The 18,823-nt window shown below is 38.0% G+C and overlaps 1 protein-coding gene across 4 annotated transcripts in view; it reads right to left on the reverse strand.

Annotated features, from left to right (window-relative positions):
* Nucleotides 1–1,367: 1,367 nt before the first annotated feature.
* Nucleotides 1,368–18,823, reverse strand: part of TMBIM4 (transmembrane BAX inhibitor motif containing 4) — a 34,151-nt gene continuing 16,695 nt past the window's right edge. For 3 of the 4 annotated variants that reach the window (NM_001282610.2, NM_016056.4, NM_001282606.2), the window contains 5 exons: nucleotides 17,793–17,898; nucleotides 13,430–13,463; nucleotides 11,363–11,480; nucleotides 4,246–4,291; nucleotides 1,368–3,688 (listed from right to left, as the gene is read on the reverse strand). In NM_001282610.2, the coding sequence (NP_001269539.1) occupies nucleotides 3,482–3,688; nucleotides 4,246–4,291; nucleotides 11,363–11,480; nucleotides 13,430–13,463; nucleotides 17,793–17,898 (511 nt within the window). In that variant the 3' untranslated portion in view covers nucleotides 1,368–3,481. The remainder of the gene's footprint in view (nucleotides 3,689–4,245; nucleotides 4,292–11,362; nucleotides 11,481–13,429; nucleotides 13,464–17,792; nucleotides 17,899–18,823) is intronic. The other variant, NM_001282609.2, reaches the window with a different exon arrangement.

The raw sequence follows: 18,823 nt of genomic DNA on the forward strand, positions 1-18,823 counted from the left end.
GCGCCTCTTCCCAGCCGCCATCACATCTAGGAAGTGAGGAGCGTCTCTGCCCGGCCGCCCATCGTCTGAGATGTGGGGAGCGCCTCTGCCCCGCCGCCCCATCTGGGATGTGAGGAGTGCCTCTGCCCGGCCGAGACCCCGTCTGGGAGGTGAGGAGCGTCTCTGCCCGGCCGCCCCGTGTGAGAAGTGAGGAGACCCTCTGCCTGGCAACCACCCCGTCTGAGAAGTGAGGAGCCCCTCCGCCCGGCAGCTGCCCCGTCTGAGAAGTGAGGAGCCTCTCCGCCCGGCAGCCACCCCATCTGGGAAGTGAGGAGCGTCTCTGCCCGGCAGCCACCCCGTCCGGGAGGGAGGTGGGGGGGTCAGCCCCTGCCCGGCCAGCCGCCCCATCCGGGAGGGAGGTCGGGGGTCAGCCCCCCGCCCGGCCAGCCGCCCCGTCCGGGAGGTGAGGGGCGCCTCTGCCCGGCCACCCCTACTGGGAAGTGAGGAGCCCCTCAGCCTGGCCAGCTGCCCTGTCCGGGAGGGAGGTGGGGGGGTCAGCCCTCCGCCCGGCCAGCCGCCCCGTCTGGGAGGTGAGGGGCGCCTCTGCCCGGCCGCCCCTACTGGGAAGTGAGGAGCCCCTCTGCCCGGCCAGCCGCCCCGTCCGGGAGGGAGGTGGGGGGGTCAGCCCCCTGCCCAGCCAGCCGCCCTGTCCAGGAGGGAGGTGGGGGGGTCAGCCCTCCGCCCGGCCAGCTGCCCCGTCTGGGAGGTGAGGGGCGCCTCTGCCCGGCCGCCCCTACTGGGAAGTGAGGAGCCCCTTTGCCCGGCCAGCCGCCCAGTCTGGGAGGGAGGTGGGGGGGTCAGCCCCCTGCCCGGCCAGCTGCCCCGTCCGGGAGGTGAGGGGCACCTCTGCCCGGCCGCCCCTACTGGGAAGTGAGGAGCCCCTCTGCCCGGCCAGCTGCCCCGTCTGGGAGGGAGGTGGGGGGGGGTCAGCCCCCCCGCCCGGCCAGCTGCCCCGTCCGGGAGGTGAGGGGCGCCTCTGCCCGGCCGCCCCTACTGGGAAGTGAGGAGCCCCTCTGCCCAGCCACCACCCCGTCTGGGAGGTGTGCCCAACAGCTCATTGAGAACGGGCCATGATGACAATGGCGGTTTTGTGGAATAGAAAAGGGGGAAAGGTGGGGAAAAGATTGAGAAATCGGATGGTTGCTGTGTCTGTGTAGAAAGAAGTAGACATGGGAGACTTTTCATTTTGTTCTGCACTAAGAAAAATTCTTCTGCCTTGGGATCCTGTTGATCTGTGACCTTACCCCCAACCCTGTGCTCTCTGAAACATGTGCTGTGTCCACTCAGGGTTAAATGGATTAAGGGCGGTGCAAGATGTGCTTTGTTAAACAGATGCTTGAAGGCAGCATGCTCGTTAAGAGTCATCACCAATCCCTAATCTCAAGTAATCAGGGACACAAACACTGCGGAAGGCTGCAGGGTCCTCTGCCTAGGAAAACCAGAGACCTTTGTTCACTTGTTTATCTGCTGACCTTCCCTCCACTATTGTCCCATGACCCTGCCAAATCCCCCTCTGTGAGAAACAACCAAGAATTATCAATAAAAAAATAAATTAAAAAAAAAAAAAAAAAAAAAAAAAGAAAATGGTATTAATACCATCAGCTGACATTAATTAAGCACTTAGTTTAGTTTATTTATCTATCTCATTTAATCCTTATAACAGCCCAATAAGCTAGACATCATTATTCCCATTATGAAGATGAGGCAGAAGACCTAAGGAAGGATAAATAATTCGCCAAATGTCACTTAAGCACCTGGTTGGACTGCAATGATTCTAATCTAGATGCTCTTACCCACCATGCTGTTAAACTTGATTGCACTGCATCATACACTTGATAATTCAACAGTTAATGATAATAAAGTCAAATTTACATCTACAAATCATGCAAGCTTAAATTGATACTACAAGTTTATTTCAACTTAATAGCTGGGAAATACTTAGGGGGTGTTATGGGCTGAGTTGTAGTCCCCCCAAAATTCACATGAAGAAATCCTAATCCCAGCACTTCAGAATGTGACTGTATTTGGAGATAGGTTTTGAAAGAGATAATTAAGGAAAAATGAGGTCCTCAGTGTGGGCCCTAATCCAGTATGACTGGTGTCCTCATAAGAAGAAGAAATTTGGGCACAGACAAGTACAGAGGGAAGGCCATTTAAAGACACAGGGAGAAGATGGCCATCTACAAATCAAAGAGAAAGGCCTCAAAGGAAACCAACCCTGCTAACACCTTGATCTTGGACTTTTAGCCTCCAGAACTGTGGGAAAACAAATTTCTTGTTGAAGCCACCCAAGCTGTAGAACTTTGTTATGGCAGCCTAACAAACTAGTACAGTGAGGGAATTTGACAAAATTTCATTGGTTACTGGTACACTGACCTAACATGCTGTGTGGACCAACACAAATGAAACCATAAGACAATACTTCCCAAATATTTTAATTTTGAAATAGATATACTTAATGGCTGATGACCCAGTATCTTTGGTGTCCTCTAACCACATTACCATTCTATAATTTCAAATGAAATCTATACTTTAAAAACAATTAATGTCAAATTTTGTCATAATATCTGACTTTCAGGCCAACTTTTAATGTTAGTACAATTTAAAATAAAAAGTCATTAACATTTTAATGTAATACTGAATAATTCTCTGTGGAATTTATCTTTTACATTTTTTTCCTTTTAAGCAAAAAGAGATTTACAGTTTATAATGGTAAAGACTCTACTACTTCAGAATCAAAGCCAAATCAATATTACTTAATAATTCAGGGAAAATTTAGATAAAATCACTAGACAACGGTAAACTGATATTCTTATCTACTCATAAAATTATTTTTGAATTGCAAACGAACTGCTATGCGTGGCTAATTTAGGAAGAAAAATTTTTTTTTTTTTTTTGAGACTGAGTCTCGCTCTGTCACCAGGCTGGAATGCAGTGGCGTGATCTTGGCTCAATGCAACCTCCACCTCCCAGGTTCAAGCGATTCTCTGGCCTCAGCCTCTTGACTAGCTGGGACTACAGGTGTGTGCCACCACATCCAGCTAATTTTTGTATTTTTAGTAGAGACGGGGTTTCACCATGTTGGCCAGGATGGTCTCAACCTCTTGACCTCGTGATCCACCTGCCTCGGTCTCCCAAAGTGGTGGGATTACAGGCGTGAGCCACTGTGCCCAGCCAGAAAAGCATTTTTAATAGAATTTTGATAGCTCTTAACTGAGATCCTAAATCAAGGATTTAGAAATGAGGTATCATAAAGAATAGTAAGATTTTAAAGCTCTCAAAATTACATATGATACAAATAAAGATTGTAACAGTATTTAATCATTGTTTCAAACTTTATTACTTAATGAAACAGTTTCTATATACTGCTTCCAATTACTTTAATCCTTTTTTCTCATTAAATTTTTTTTGTTGTTCTTCAGTTGAGCTGAGATACTTTTAATTACTTTTTATTAACTGCTTCCAGAAACCGTAACAGGTGCAGGAATAGATTGATGATATCCAAGTAGAGGCTGATGGCAGCTAATACGTACTCTTCAGGTGACAGTTTATGCATCAGTGAGTGTGTGTCATAGATGATGAATCCACAGAAAAGAAGGGCTCCTGCAGCGGCTAAGACCAACTCCATTATCTCACTATAAAAAAAAAACTATAGGGAAGAGATTAAAGAAATATGTTTATATTTGAGAACAGTATTAACAGGACTTAACTTACTTCCTCTAATGATTTACTGCTACATTATACATTTGACAATGGTGTACAACTTTGAATACAAATGTTAAAAGCAGAAAAAGGCAAGGCAAGTCCAAACTTGCCTCTGTTGGATGGAAGGATGAATGAGTGGTTATATTCCATTAAACTAAATTACCCACTTTGAAAAACAGCATTCCACATATAAATTATTTAAAAATATATTTCGTTTTTCACAATTAAATGTGCCACTGGAGCTTGGCAGTTGTAAGCAAGGGCCTCTTTCTATGTAATTTAATTCATTTATTCATTCATCTTTTTTTCAGTCAATAATAAGGACCAACACAAGACCCTGATTTTCTAAAGGGATAATTCTATAATCATTCTATATACAAATGTTCTGGATAATTATAACTAAGTGTCCTATCATAAGAGTATCTCTTATAGCTTTTTGAGGTTATTTATATTGACACAGCCAGAATTATATTTCAAATTAACCATTATAACATAACTTACCTTCAAGAATCCTGACAGGCACAATATCCACAAAAGAGCAAACAGCCTATAAAAATACAATTTTAGTAATTTGCAATATTGTTCCTTACAAAAAAACTTTGTAAACCCATTCAACACTTTCTGAAAAAAACATCCATCTGGATTTTTTGCTGAAGAATAACTAAAATGTAAGAATTTGTAAACATACAATGAATATAATGCCCATCTTGGATCTTTTTTTTAAAGAAATTGAAAGAACAGCTATTTATTCAACATTTGTCTTTATGGTATACAAACCTAGTTAACAGTATAATTTGTGAAGTTTTGGAACATAAAATACAGATAAAAGCAGAAATATCATTACAAGTATTTTAATTCAGAGATCTATAAAAACTTTTAGAAAATATATAAACAAATGAACTAGGATTGCACTTTTAAACCAAGTAATAACAAGTTATTCTGTGAACATGTCTATCGAAGTTCACAATGTACTTTCCATTTTATTCTTATGTATTATGGAACTTAATTGATGGACACATCTGACACTGCTATAATTTTATGAGTTACAATTCAATTGTTATATATAGAGAGTATAAATTATATAAGAAAGGACATCTAAGAAGTCAGTCTTTTGTTATAAAATATGGGACTTATCAGCTGCTTCAGGTCACAGGGAATTACAGAGGCCACATTTATCCTCCTTCCTTAAATAAAACCAGACAAAATATATGAAACAACAGTTCTTGGACACTGGACAGCAAACAGCACAGGACAGGGATTCCTGAGATAAAGGATACAAAGAAAGTGAAGTCTATATTTGCCCCAGCTACAGAGGGTTTCCAGGCCAGCGTGTAGGGATAAGAACCCATACAGTCACTTGCGGTCTCCTTGAGTTGAGCAGACAAGAATTCAGAGGTCAGGGAAGCCAAGGTAGCTAGAATTTGCAGGGCAGAATATCAGAAAGAAGAGAACTATCCACCAAAAGTGAGCACTCTGGTGTATGCACAGGATTCCCCTAGAGTCTGTAGCTACATTCTGATTAATACATGCATGTTAAGGAGGTGACCAAGGCTGGAGAAAGAACCACAATAGAGAAGCAGGCAGAACAATCCTCAGAGTTCACACAGGACTGGGAATAGTTTGCATTCACACAAGCTGGAGTAGAAAGACCTCGTAAGACATGCACTGAGTAGTATGCTGAAGGGTACTGTCTCAGCAGTACCCTTAGGGCCAAATGAGCCCCTAAGCTAAAAGCTGTTCTGGACCTCCTAACAGAGCCTCAAAAGGTTTACTTTCCAAGGAACTTAACTGCATCCTAGGAGAACAATGCCAAATATATTTAAAGTTAATACAACAAAATTCAGCACCCAACCATGTAAAATTTATAATGACCAGCATCCAATAAAAAATTATAAAGGCATGCAAAAGAATGAAGGAAATATGACCCATAACAAGGAGAAGAAACAATCAATAGAAACAAATCCAGAAATGACACAATGATAGAATGCATAGACAATGACATTAAAAATATACTCCCTAGTTCAAGATCGAGGAAAGAATGATCATGAGGAGGAGAGAAATGGAAGATACTATTTTTTTTCAAAAGACACAAATTGAACTGAACTTTAATTGATTAAAAATACAATATATGAAACACAAATATTCTGATTGGAATTAATAGCAGATTAGACACTGAAGAAGATTACTAAATTTGAAAACAGCAATAGAAACTAACCAAAATGAATCGCAGAGAGAAAAAGACAAAGAAAAACAAACAAACAAAAAAAACAGAACAGTGAATTAGGGGACAACATCTAGAAGTCTCACACAGATGTAACTGGAGTCTCAAGCAAAGGAGAAAGAAGGGGAGACAGATAAATGTTTGAAGAAATAATGGCCAAAAATTTCCCAGATTTGAGCTGTGCACAGTGGTGTGTGCCTGTAATCCCAGCTACTCAGGAGGTGGAGGGATCACTTGAACCCAGGAGTTCGAGTCCAGCCTAGGCAACACAGCAAGACCCCATCTCTTAAACAATTTTTTTTTCCAAATTTGAGGAAAACTTTACATTGTCAGATCCAAGAAACAGAAGAAAAGTGGAGGGGGAGGGAACCACACCAAGGAATATTTTAATCAAATTACTGCAAACCAGTGATAAAGAAAAAATGGTAAAAGTAGCTCTGTATGTGTGGAGGAAACATATACAGAGGAATAAATATAAGAAAGATGGCAGACTTCTTGTCAGAAACTACATAAGTCAGAGGACAATGGAATGACATCTTTAAAATACTGAAAGCAAGAAAAAAAACCCAAAACCTAGAATCTTACACCCAGCAAAAATAACTTTCAAAAATAAAGACAAAGGTTTTTTTCAGACACAAAAGATGACCAACAGACAATAAGAAATGTTAAAAAGAAGTCCCTTAGTCAAATGATATTAGGTGGAAATTTAGATTTACATGAAGAGATGAAGAAGAGTAGAAATGGCAAATACATTGGTGAACATAAAAGGACTTCTATTTTTAAAATCCCTTTAAAAGATAATATAATTTTTAGTGCAAAAATAATAATGTATTATGGAGTTTATAACATGTAGAACTAAAAGTTACGGCAACAATGGCACAAAGGTAGGGAAAAGGAGATACAAGGATACATAAAATGGTATATTATTTGAGGATAGACTAATAATTTAAAGTCATATATTATAAAACCTAGAGCAACCTCTAATTAAAAGAACTATAGCTAATAAGCCAATAAAGAAGATAAACACAACCATCTTAATAATCACAATAAATGTAAATGGACTAAATACACTAACTAAAAGCAGAGGTGGTCAGATTAGATTTTTAAAAACCAAGATCCAACTATGATTTCTAAAAAAAAAACCTTGTAAATATAAAGACACAAATACATTAAAAATAAAAGGATAGAAAAACATATACGATGCTAACATGCTAACACAAATTAAGAAGAAAGCTGGGGTTGCTATATTAATAACAAAATAGATTTTAGGGCAATGATATTACTAGAGCTAAAGAAGGTCACTTCATAATGATAAAGGGGTCAGTTCACCAAGAGTACGTAACAATCCTAAATGTTTCTGCATCTAAAAATGAAGTTTAAAATAATATGATGCAAAATTATAGAATTTACATAAGAAATAGACCAATCCATACTTGTAGTTGGAAATTTCAACACCCCTCTCACATTGATAAAACAAGTAGGCAGAAAATTAGTAAGCAAATAGAACACTTAACATTATGAACCAACTTTACCTAATTGACATTTATCAAATCATCCGACAGCAGCAGCAAAATACACATTCTTGTCTAGTGCACAAAGAACATTTACCAAGATACCATTAAAAAATAAATAAATAAATAAATGCAAAAGGACTGAACTCATACAAAATAAGTTCTCTCACAGTAACAGAGTTATTTATTGTAATGCTATTTGGTGAAATGAAGGCATGATGAGAATCTAGTCCTCAGCTGTCTCTCTGAAATGGCCCTAAAATTTCTCAGGATACATCTGGCATACCTAAGTGAGAATGAGGTATCATGCTACCTCACAACATAGATCCTTCAGGACTGAAAGGGACTTAGGATTTGCTTTTTCATTCTTAAAGCCTAGGGAAATTCCAACGTTCCTGCACCATGGGGTATGGGGAAGGTGATATTAAGAACTTACAGCATCCGAGATATTACCCTACTTGCAGGCTAACAAGTTAGCCTGGCACAGTTTCATGGATGCATCAAGCTCCTAGGTCTGAGATAAAGGACAGTTTACAGTAATAACAGTAGTATCAGCATTTTTATGACAGGGCCCAGGTGATGCTAAGAGGGCCACATGACACCTACACACACAGTGGGTTGTGTTACAAGAGAGGAACCTTGAATTTAGGGAAGCAAGTCTTTTTTATAATGGAAAGTAAACATGCTTGCCCTCTGCTCTAGCGAGCACTATTTCTATCTTTCCAGGCTGTTCACTATTGGAAAAAAAAAACCCTTAAAAAGATTGTCTGGAACAAAGAGCAGTCAGCACATCATTCACAAGACATTCAGAAACACGAGACCCATGAAAAATCCTCTCCAATTCTTGTGGGCTTCTAATAAGACATTAGGATAGGGCTGCCAGAGGTCACTGGACATTAATTTACTCTTATTCACTAACTGGACAAGATCCTACATTTGAGCCTGATCAGACACTATTGACAATACATATTAAAACAGATACCTTTTCTCCACTACAACATCCAAGTTGAAATCTGACACACTTAGGCTCCCTGGTTAAGCAGCATGCCCCACCCAGCAACCTAAGTGTACACACACTAAAACAGTTATTTAGGGTCACAGGCTCCATTTGGTAAGTTTCTGGTAAGAAATTCAGCCTAAGACTTGTCAGTTTATGACAGCATTCTCTGTAGATACTGTAACAGGTAAAGATTTGAAAGTCATGTCCTACAAATATTCTGCCTAAGTTGTTAGTTCACTCTACTCTGACTCACATCTCATTAAATATTTAAGCATCAAAGAGAGCAAATTTTCTGAGAATATAGATAAGATATACCATGGACATAGTGCTGATTTTGCTATTCTAACAACTCCATCTAGAAGACTGACAAATCCTACCCTCATCCCTCTCAACAAGAAGCACAGAATAAAAAATAACTTACAAACAGTGATGTACCAGTAAACTGACTTTCTAGGAAAGAAAATGAGCCCTGATTTGTAGTGCTTCTTAATTTCTGTGGTGTACATACATCCTTCATGGCCTACTTTAAACTTCCAGCAGTTTAACAACTGACTTGCAAGATGCCTCATAAGCTGGCACAAGGCAACTCTAGCACACCAATGACCAGTTGCCACAGTTATCATATGTAGTTCTGAGATTTAATTCCTTTTGTGGCAGAATTACCACAGGATAATGATGTTGTAAAAACATCACAGCTTTAAGTCAATCTATGAAGCACTGCCACCATTGCCTGATACTACCATACATCCAAACATTTAACGCACTTCTTCAGTCCCTATTATGTCCCATAAACAGGTCAGAAGGAACAGCCTATAAACTTTTTAGAAAATATTTTCACAGAAAATCTTTTCCCTCGGTCTTTATATCCATTTTGGCACTCAGCTTCCACAACCACTTTGGCTTTGAGGCGTCACAGTAAGTAGTGCCATTAAGTTTTATTTAAAATGCAATAAAGTGCTACTCTTAAGTAGCTGAATCTATGGCATACTGACCAAAGTATAATTATTATTAGGATTTTGCTAGAGAGTCATTACATGGCAATATCCAGTAACTAATAGCAGTAGATGTGATTCAGTGGAGAACTGGGCTGTATACCAAGAGCAGTAGTGAAGTGTTAGGGTTTTAAATAGGTATACTGTAATCAAGTTTCCATTTTTGTATCACCCAACTGCTTGGTGGAAAAGAGGCTGGAAACTGTTAAGACTGGAGAATAGAGAGGCTGGTTGTAGTAATACAGGTAAGAGGCAATTTTGAAAGGGTTCCGTTTCCAGTACTACAGCAAGTAAGAACTATTCCAGACTAATTACTGCCCCTGTCCCACCCCGAAAAACTACTGAAATGATGCATAAAAGAGAAAACAAAGAATACGTTCTTAAAAACATCAAATAACTGTCAAGGTAGAATGGAATTATCAAATCAAAATCTAGGTAAAAGTGGAAACCCAAAGAAGTAATCATAGTACTGTAGCTGAATTTGCCCAACTACAAGAAAAGTCATCAATGCACTAAGCAGGGGTAAATTGCGGGGTGGGGGCAGAGAAGAACCATCCCTGGGAAATTGTCACCACAAGCTATCCCTTTGCTGATTTGTAGTCTAACTGAAGAACACTTGTGTGGTTGGGAAAACATCGTAAGCCATGAATTTAGTTTCAAGTGGACCCAATCCAATAGTTTTCCCAGATGCTAGGCGAAAACCCAAATACTGTATGGAAAAGTGCACCTTCAATCAAGGCCTCAAAGAAATTCAACAAATAGTTTTTCAAGGACAATTACATAGTCAAAAATAACTGAACACTTAAAGAAAGAAAATATCATAAGAATTATCAGAAACAGCAGACACAGACAGACGCACTTCAGAAATATCTGGTCTCAGATCTATATATGATCACTGTAATACCATTTCTATCAATCAATGTAAATTTATTATGAAGAGGCTGAAATATAAGGCAAGTTTACCAGAAAAGGATTTAAGAGAGATGATACTGGAATTAATGAAAGGGAGGGAACAGTTGGAGATTGGGTTGAGAAGAGGAAGTAGAACAAAACTTTCATCATATATGCCACACAAATATGTATGAAACATCCTTCCAAAGAAGGAAAAGAAAATAGAAAATGTTACCTCTCCCTAAATCAAACTCCATTCTAATGAAACTATTTAAGCAGCTCGCGCAATTGTCAGTGTTGGCTGACCAACTATATTTTATCTCAATAGAGACTTCTGGTGTTCTGGATTACCAGAATAAAAGGGGTGGGGGAGGAAAGAAAGTTTAGCAAGAGCAGAGTTTTGTAAATAGTGTTGTAACAGGAAAAAGAAAACGGTTGGGTGACTGTGCCAACAGGAAGCCACTGTGAGCTTAGAAAAGAGTCTATGCATTCCTACCAGGTGAGGGCAATGCTGTACCATAATCCTAATATAAAAAGGATCATTCCGTATATTTGTTTGAGGAAGGATACAGGTTAATCTAGATGGATCAAAAGGTCTTAAAGTTCATGCAGACCCTTTCAATACCTGTACTAATTACAGCGCTTCTTCCAAGAAGACGTGGATGGTCTTGGTAACATTTATGCTAAGACAAAGACTGAAGTAATTTCAGTAAATTCCATAATGTTAATAAAGCATACAAGCTTAAACTCTCTGGAAAGCTTATTTTTTTTTTTAATTCACTTCCCTTTCACTATAGGAGAGAAGCAAATAAGTCAAAGCCACTTTCCATTTCTGTGTATGTTCTAGGAGTAGGACCTGGCCCTAGTACTCAAAGAGATGATCTCTTATTACCCTCCATTTTAAAAGACAGTACCCAAAAATAACAGTGTAGCACATTCCTCAAAACCACCTATAATAATTAAAGACATCTATCTATTATATCCAAGAATATATACAACTTACCCTGCTCCAAATTTGCTGAAATCCTTCTTAGATTGTAGAGTATACACAGTCAAACCAAAAAATACTGTAGTAGTCAGTATGAAAGCTTGCAGAATAATATATACATCATAGAAAGTAACTGTAAAATTAAAACACTGATTAACATGCATATAAACATGCTCAATACAAAACAGCTTTTTCTGGCATTTTATAGAAATGCTTCATTTTCTCCTGTACTTTATGCCAATAAAAACAATTAGAAAAGATTTCTTATCCATCCTTGACTACATGGGTACAGTGAAACCACACCCATAATGCAATTAACAGTCTCCAAAAAATTCATTCATACAAAATCAGAGGTCACATTATTACCAAGTTAATGAAATGACTGGAGAGCTATCACGCCTGTAGCCAGTTTGGAGTTCTACAGGTATGGGAGTGATTCTCAGCCATCTCTGTCCCAGGCACAGTTTACCACCATCTGTGGTGATTGTCCATTATGGTTTAAATATCAATAGGGATGATTCTGGGTCTCCTGCCTGGCTGGGAATTCCTGGACAGTAGCAGCAAATCCAGCAATCATCTAGTTAGTTATACTTGGTTTATCAGCCCAAATCAAGGAAATTGGGAAAGAAAAATATTGGGGCTGTCTGGGGTTGCCTACCATTCACTTACCCTGCAGAGGACAGAAACCAACCACTAACTGCTTTATATCCAAATGTGTATTATCTTGGAGTACATTATTTTGGGGTTTACTGAATATATGCCAAATTCCTTTCTGTAATTTTAGAATAATCATCCATTCAATTATGGCTATTGTAATAAAACTCCTTAACATTTTAATAAATTGCAAAGTTATAACCTCTTGGAGGTTAACTGCTTTGAACCCAAAGCCATTTAAGTAATTTTTAATTTTTCAGGGGAGTAATTATTCATGTTCTTTCTATCATTAAATGCTACATGATTGGAATTTCTCTGTTTATGCCATTACAGGATTAGGAAGGTGAACATGGAAAAGATAAGACATGAAGTCCATTTTGCTTCTTGTCAGTAATTTAAGTATACGATTAGGTTGAAAAGATATTGCAATTACTGAGGAAAATAATGTTCTCAGATTACCTCATCTATGTTTTTCTACCCCCAATTCCAATAATCCTGAAATGAATCTCTCTCCTACATTCTTTATACATAGTAGGGGCTGGAGAAGGGAGAGATGGATTTGATAACCTTAATAGTAAGTAACATTAATAATAAGTAAATATTAATAATACTTCCTTTCTCTGTTAAGAAGCTTCAATCCTATTTATTATTTATTACTATTTATTTATATTGATTCTTTTAAAAAGAGATTACAAAAACATACAGATTAAACAAAACTGGCATAGAAAGGTTAAAAAAACTAATGACAAAGTAGGAAGAGTTAAATATATTAACTATAAGGATAAACAACTTGCTATTATGGAGAGTAATAATTAACTCTGACCTTTTTGGTACTCAAGGTTAACCATTTTGAGACAATCAGAATTTCTATTCTTAATTTACTGAAATTTTTTATTTGAGGCATTACATAGGGTACATCAAGTAATTATAACAGAAACGGCCTTCAAACACATATTTAACATGAAATACAGAGCAGAAATTACCACTGTTTCTTGCAGTGCCATTTGATAAAATATGAGGATATAATGTTAAAGCACAGTTCAGTTTGGCACAGGCCAGTTAAAGGAGTTAAGCTCATACATATGATCAAAGTACGTGGCTCAGAACACATGTTCTCAGTTACTTGATGATAACTTTAAATTAGGGAAAAGATTAGCTATAGTTGTCTTATTTTTCTAAATGGGTAAACAAATGAAATACTGTTCTCCATTCCTTTTATTTTTCTTTTCCACTTCTAAGCTCAGCTGAAATATGTAAACGATAAATATCTAACTTTTGCTTATACTTTAGAAATTATTTGTCCTATGCTATATTTCTGAAATATGATATTCCATGATGTTAAACTTTAGCCCCAAATACCTTTTTACCTGAAAGATCTATCTACATTAAAAAGTTATTATAACATATAGAAATGCAGTTACGGCTTACCAACAACTGCCACAGTCAGAGCTTCCAACAGCGTCTAATGAAAAGAAACTTAAATTAGTGACTGTAAAATTTATACTATCTCATGTACATTTTCTAATTTCTAGCAGCTTAATGTGATCCCATATGAATGATCTCATTTTAGCTTCAAAGCAGCCCTGCGAAGTATATGGGGCAGTTAGTAAACCCACCATAATGAAAATGAGACCTCAGTATATTGAGTGGGAATATTAACATTCTAATTCTGATACTATGACTCTTTAAGCTCTAATCGCATATTTGTAACAGGAAGACTATAAATATAGAACATTCTGTTTTTCTTACTGTGTAATATAAATAAAAATACAATTGCAAAATTATGTGCACATTTATAAAACCTCAATACCTCACACAAACATAGGAAGAATAAAATATTTAGGTAGTACTTTGGTGTGGGAGTCTTGAAAGTGTTTCCCAATATTCATTCTCTCTTTCTTCCCTAATAACAGAATTTTTACCTGGACACATGGCTGTTCAGATTAAACTGCATTTTTTCAGTCTCCTTTGCAACTCTAGGTCTGACTACGTAACGATACTCTAGCCAATTTAATGTGACTAAGATAGGAATTCAACTTCTGGATTGTGCTCTAAAAACAAAGAAAGACTTGCTCTCCCCTTCCTCTTCTCATTTGTTTGTATTAATAACTGGATACTCTGTGGCTATGGAAGTGATCTATCTTATACCATATGATCTATCATATACCACTCTAGGAATGCCTGGACCTTAGCAGAAGCGTGGGCCCTTGTCACCTTCACTAAATTGTCATTCAAATTTTTACATGAAGAGAAATAAACTATCTTGTTTAAGCCATTGTTATTTTGTCACTGTTTAAGTCAAGTCAGAAGTAGCTGAACCCATATCCTAAATAAAAGACTTGGGGATACTGAGCCATGTCCTCTAGCCTCCCTTTCCCCTTAATTACAGTATCTTTATTTTGTCTTATATCCTTACTCTAGATAGATTTTATCAATCATCTGATAGACCATATCACAAAGGCAAAGCCAGAAATAAAGGCAGTGGCTGTATAATCACACTCCTGGTAGAAGCATCCCTGTACTCCACCCTACCTGATATCAGGAAACCATCAGCACCAGAGCAAAAATGGTATTAGAAATTGTACATAGATGTGGAGGCAATGGAACTGCTGTCACATTTTAATGCTTTTAGTAGTGCCAGCAAAAATGGTAGCAAAAGATGATAGAAATTTTTTTCTGGGCTGGGCATGGTGGCTCAGACGTGTAATCCCAGTACTCTGGGAGGCCGAGGCAGGTGGATTGCTTGAGTCCAGGAGTTTGAGACCAGCCTGGGTGACACAGCAAAACCCCCTCTCTACGAAAAACACAAAAAAATTAGCCAAGGATGGTGACATGCGCCTGTAGTCCCAGCTACTTGGGAGGCTGGGAGGTGGGAGGATCGCTTAAGCCCAGGAGGCAGAGGTTGCAGTGAGCCAAGTTCGTGCCACTGCACTCCAGCCTGGGTGACAGAGAGAGACCCTGTCTCAAAAAAAAAAAAAAAAAAAAGAAAGAAAGAAATTTTTTTGGGGGGGGCAGGGCAACATGATTATACTATATTCTTGCTATTTATGACAAGATTTTAGGAAAGAAATCCCATACACATTCAAGTATCTAAGGAAACAGGATGGTATAAATAAGAGTTAAGATAAGACTAGGAAAACATGATAATGTCCCTTTAAAACATATACACACATGCTCCTCGAGTTACAATGGGGTTACATGCCAATACACCCCACTGTAAGTTGAAAATATCGTAAGTAAAAAATGTAGCTCAGAGTGTCTTTGGTTAAAGAATCACCAATGCTTAAAGTCTGAAATTTCGTGGTTGCATATTGCTTTGACACCATCATAAAAGTGGAAAACATTAAGGTGAATGATTCTAAGTTGAGGACTATCTATCTATCTGTCTGTCTGTCTATGTGCATGCATACACACACACACACACTCCTACTAGGGCAAGATAAGATTCACCTCCTTTCTTATCTTGGTGGATCAGGACCAAAAAACTCCTAACGTTAAAGGTCCCTGAGTAATTTAAGGAAATGTATTGTACATACTTATTTGTTAAACCATTTTTAGCTATGGGCATGATGAATAGATTTAACAATCAGTGATTATCTTGCCTATAAGCATTTGGTTGATACTTTTCTAGTGGGACCTCTCCCTGCTGGGCAAAAGTTGAACCACACCCTCTTCCCACACAGAAATCAGTCTTTCTGAGAGGAGGCTACATGTAGATGCGAAGAGGAATTCTATATGGCCGTCTTTTTTTTTATACTTCCTCTTTCCTGAGACATAGCTGACTAGGCCAGGAGTTGGCTCTTACCCAAGGCCTGGCAACCCATATATTGACTAACAGCCTACAATGTGACCTGTGCCAACAACCAAGTGTACCAATCAGATTCTTTCTCTCTCCTTTCTTCCTTCCTTCCTTCCTTTTCCTTTCTTCCTCCCTCCCACCCCCCTTTCTTTTTAAGACAGGGTCTCACTCTGTCACTGAGGCTGGAGGGCAGTGGCGCAATCTCAGCTCACTGCAACCTCCACCTCCCGGTTTAAGTGATCCTCCTGCCTCAGCCTCCCAAGTAGTGGGACTACAAGCACGTGCCATAACATCTGGCTAATTTTTGTATTTTTTGCAGAGACAAGGTCTCACTATGTTGCCCGGGCTGGTCTCGAACTCCTGAACTCAAGCAACATGCCTGCCCCGGCCTCCCAAAGTGCGGGGATCACACAGGCGTGAGCCACCACGCCTGGACCAGATTCTTTCTGACTCAGGAATCTGAACTCAGAGATTGAAGCAATGGCAGTGGGAGCTAAAGTTAAATGACTCTGGGGGCAAACAATGGGTCATATAAAAATTAAAGATAGAAAAAGGGAAAACAATGTATAAGGACAACTGAGGTAGAGAAGAGATGTAATAGAACAAGGGAGAGGGGAACACAAACATTTGTCACTGAATTTCCTATGATATCATCATTTCTGGAATCTTCCTCCAGTTCTCCAGTTCATCTTCTTGAAGAGGATTTGGGTTGGTGGGTTCTCAAGCTCTTACATCCTTAAACTCCTTGTTATTTGCAATAACTTGAGTTAGAATTGACAATCTTGCAAACAAAAGAGCTTAAGATTTAAATGAATAATCTTTCCTATTACTGAAACTTTCAAAGTCATCAGCTTTTCATTTTAACACAAACTCATTATCAGAATTCATAAACTTTTTAGTTTAAAGCATTTTAATCTAATCAATAGCTTTTCCCACTCGTATTTGACTACAAGTATTCTTTTTTTGTTTGTCTGAGATGGGGTCTCACTCTGTCACTCAGGCTGGAGTTTAGTCACGTGATCTCAGCTCACTGCAGCCTCCACCCCGCAACCCCGTTACAGTGATCCTCCCACCTCAGCCTCCCAAGTAGCTGGGACTATAGGTGCACACCACCATGCCCAGCTAATTTCTGTATTTTTTTGTAGAGGTGGGGTCTCACTATGTTGCCCAGGCTGGTCTCAGACTCTCGGACTCCAGCAATCTGCCCACGTCAGCCTTCCAGAGTGCTGGGATTACAGGCATGAGCCACTGCACCCACCCAAGTATTCTTAATATTACTTTGGAATGTTCTGAAGTAAATTTTTAGGTTAGAATCTAGTCATACTGGATGAGAAGAGGCAAAATAATTTTTTAGACAGATAACTTGAGGCTTATCCCCTTATTCTGGTCATATTCTAAACTGAATTTTCATAAGTGGTAGTTTGGGTTTTAATTTTCACAAATATCTCAACATACATGACTTAAAGTTGGGTTCTCCCAACTATAATTTTGAAAAAAGTTACTAATGCACATAATTTGAGCAAAATGGTTCTTTAAAAGATCAGAGTGATAAGATAATAACAAAGAAGAGTTAACAATAAAGAATTTGAATTTTATGAAATTAAAGCCACAACATAATTTTCTCCAAAGAAAATAATAGAATATTAGAGGTAGAAGGTATCACAAGGATTTATCTACTTTAAAATTCTCATTTTACATATGAAAAAACTTAGACACAGAAAGGATAAATGCCTTGCCAAGTGTCACATAATCAGATAGCAGCAAAGCCAGGTCATCTATTCCAATTCAGCATTTTTTCCACTACATACTAATATTTGAAACTAATAAACTGTTAAAAGTTTTAAAAGACTATAAAATTACAATTAATTTCCTAAAGTACTCTAAAAAAAACTCATTAATTTTGTTCTGCCGTTGTTATATATGTATTATATATGCATTTATTTAAAACTCAGGAATAATTGTTAAGGGAATAGAGAAAGTCAGAGTACTCACAAATCCAAAAAGTAGGTACAGGTTAAGGGGATACTTATGTCTGTTTAAAATCAACGCAAAAATCAAACCCAGAGATCCGAGGGCAAACAGCAAAATTAAGGCAGGACTGAAAGACATAATATTAAGTGTTTCAAGTTAAAGAAAAAATAGCATGAGCAGTATTATCAAATTTAATAAAATTTATCTATTTTATATGTTTATGAAAGTACAGGGGAAAAAATCTGGAATGATCCACACCAAACTATCAAATTATTTTATATCTGGAAAATTTGAGGAGTACAAGGTAGAAAGGAGCCTCAAGACAAAGAAAAGAGCCCAAAATGAATGGGGGAAACTTTTTCTTTTTACCATATAAACTTCTATCACATTTGAATAATGTTTGCAATTAGTATACTAATATTATACAATAAAGAAATTTAAAAATAACAACTACTTTCTTAGGATATTTGCCATATGGCTGTAATTTAAATTAAAGAATTTTACCTCACATAGCAAACTAATAGTTCAAGACTCCCCTTTGGTGGGGAGAAGGGAAGGGAGGACAGAAATTCTCTACTTCTATGAAAATATTCATTAGTTCTCCTTTCCTTTAATATAACAAAACTGTATCATGGAAATAATTATGATTCATCCCTGATTAAAGATCAGGGATGAATCATGTGGAGCTCTTTTGAAAACTTCTTGGTGAAATTATGCTAGTCATGAGCCAAAACTAAAATGAACGCACATTTATTTTTCAAGTACTGTCTTAGGCTTTGAGCACAGGGAATATAGTCTAATAAAGTTTTTAAAACTTAAGACTTTTAAAAATGGCATGCAGTAAAAATTCTTAATTTTTACCAAGGGTTTAACCCTAAGAAACTAAAGCTAAAAAGTTCAGAGGTAAATACCATGTTGTGGAGTATTTTTCTTCATCAAAAACAAAACTAATCAGGCTTATAAGAGTAAATGAACCTTTTTTACATTTTAACCTCAAAAGTTAATAGAAAAAAGTGGATTTTGTTTATAATATGCCTTTTTGATCATATGCA

This window comes from Homo sapiens, chromosome 12, assembly GCF_000001405.40.
Source record: "Homo sapiens chromosome 12, GRCh38.p14 Primary Assembly".
In the NCBI taxonomy this organism is placed as follows: Eukaryota; Metazoa; Chordata; class Mammalia; order Primates; family Hominidae; genus Homo; species Homo sapiens.